This window comes from Homo sapiens, chromosome X, assembly GCF_000001405.40.
Source record: "Homo sapiens chromosome X, GRCh38.p14 Primary Assembly".
Lineage (NCBI taxonomy): Eukaryota > Metazoa > Chordata > Mammalia > Primates > Hominidae > Homo > Homo sapiens.
Genome location: NC_000023.11, coordinates 45717381 through 45719751, shown reverse-complemented (window position 1 = coordinate 45719751; position 2371 = coordinate 45717381). Strand labels below are relative to the sequence as shown.

The 2371-nt window shown below is 37.6% G+C and overlaps 1 annotated feature.

Annotated features, from left to right (window-relative positions):
* Window positions 886–1180: a silencer, noted in NCBI's record as "tiled region #14703; HepG2 Repressive non-DNase unmatched - State 24:Quies". NCBI's record gives its function as "represses a minimal TATA promoter and a strong SV40 promoter by Sharpr-MPRA in HepG2 cells {active_cell/tissue: HepG2}" and the evidence as "EXISTENCE:reporter gene assay evidence [ECO:0000049][PMID:27701403]".

Sequence of the window (2371 nt, the reverse complement as noted above, 5' to 3'; positions counted from 1 at the left end):
ACTTGAGGAAAACTCAGAATATGCTAACCCAATCTTAGGTCTCTGCTTTTACTGTTTTTTGTTCTAGCCATTTGTCTGCTGGTAATTTCTACTCTAACAGGCTGCTGACTTCTTGAAAGCAAGGCCTGGGTCATTCTAACAGGTATAAGGTGATATCTCATTGTGGTTTTGATTTGCATTTCACTGATGTTTAGTAATGTGGAGCATTTTTTATATACCTGTTGGCCCCTTGTATATCTTCTTTACAGAGTGTCTATTCAGGTATTTTGCCCATTTTTAATAGGGTTATTTGTTTTCTTGCTTTTAAGTTGAGTTCCTTACATATTTTGGACATTAACCCATGTAGTTTGTATAGTTTGCCAGTATCCTTTCCCATTTTATAGGTTGTTTGTTCACTCTGCTGATTGTTTCCTTTGCTGTGAAGAAGCTTTTTGGTTTAATATAGTCCCTTTTGTCCAATTTTGCTTTTGTTGCCTGTGCTTTTGAGGTCTTATCCAAAAAACCATTGTCTATATCCATGTCATTAAGCATTTCCCACTTTTTTTTCGTAGTTCCATAGTTTCAGGCTTTGCAATTAAGGGCTAAGCACAGCTTTTTACATATCAGGCTTCAATAAATGTTGAATAAATTATTCAAATTGACCATCTCCAATTTTTACCAACCTTTTCTGTATGACATTCCCCAATATATAATTATTTCTGATTATTATTTAAGAAAAGAAAGCAAATGAAGCAATATTGAAGTCTAGAGAATTTCTAAAAATTATTCTTTATTTCTAGCCACACTGTTTCTCACAGGCAAATACCATCCTTCATCTGGTATCTATGCCTGTGGTTAGGCTTCTAAGAGCAGCCCAAGGAAGGCCAAATACTTAGTGGGTACTGAATGAAGGAACAGGAAGAATCAGAATAAACTCTTTCCACACTGTTTTTTCAAAAAACACAAAGGAATAGAGCCTTGGTATTGTAAAGGGCTGTGAGCCTGGTGTGGAAAAACATCATACGAGAACAGTGAATGAAAACATACCCTGCTCTTAGAAGCCAACCACATACACACCTCTTTCTCCCTCCCCCAGCCAGAAGTGACTATAGAATCTGTTGATGCCATTAGGAAAATTGTAGTAATTCCCGCTATGTTTCACTTGATTCCAAGTGCTGCCTCATGACTCTGTCAGCCAAAAAATGTTTGTCAATATACTCACCACTAATTCTGATGCAGTCTTTGTCTTTTAGATGTGTTTGTTGACCCTCCTCCACTCTGGTAAGCACCTGCTCATTCCAAGGCAAGGCAGTTTCAGATGAGTCCCAGTACTTCACCCACCCAATTAAATTGGATATTCATGCAGTTTTAATTTCTCCCATTTTCCAACCCCAGTTGTGATTTGGAGAATTAGCCAAGCTTCTCTATCTGCTTGTCTGTAAAATTGGGCTAGCCATTTACATAAAAGAGAAAATCTGTGAAATAAGCTGAGATTTTCTTTTCAGAGATTACTTAGCTTGAGTCAGATTTTAGGCCTTGCCCATTCCCACAGGCTGAGAGGAGCTTGTAGAGGAGTAACTCCCCCTACCTAAGGTTCTTTCTGGGACAGAAACAGCCCAACTTCCATTCTCTTTCCAGATAATTCTTGTCTCACCTCACGCCTACAATGAACTGAATGCTTATGTTCCCACAAATACCCCCCAAGGTGGTAGCCTTAAAAGGCGGGACATTTGGGTGGTAATTAGGTCATGATTTGGATTGATGCCCTTATGAAAGGGATCCCAAAGAGCTCACTTGCCTCTTCCCCATGTGAGGACACAGTGAGAAGCCTCCATCTATGAGGAATGGGCCCTCACCAGATACTGAATTTGCCAGTGCCTTGGTCTTGCACTTCCCAGACTCCAGAACTGTGAGAAATCATTGTGTATTGTTTATAAGCCACCCAGTTTATTGCGTTTAGTTATAGCAACCTTAACAAACTAGGACACTGCCCATGTTTAACTTAGCTATGTGATTTCTTTATTTTTCTTTTTTGTTAGCTCTTTGATATTTTTGTAAATTGTAGTTATTTGCATTTGGATCAAACACTTTTAAAATCAATGAATGGATATTTATCTATGTGAACTATTTATCATGAACCATTGATTCAAAGCAAAACAGAAAAGTATCATTTATAGAAACTCTGTACTATTGCCTTATAATCACTGTATTTTTAATACCTTTATTGAGGTGTAATTGCTATAATATATGCCATACAGATTGAGAATGTACAAGTTGATAAGTATTCACATGTGTATATATACCTGTGAAGCCATCTTCACAATCAAGAAAATGGACAGATCCATCACCTCTAAAAGTTTCTTCCTGCCCTTTTATAATTTCTTTCTCCCAA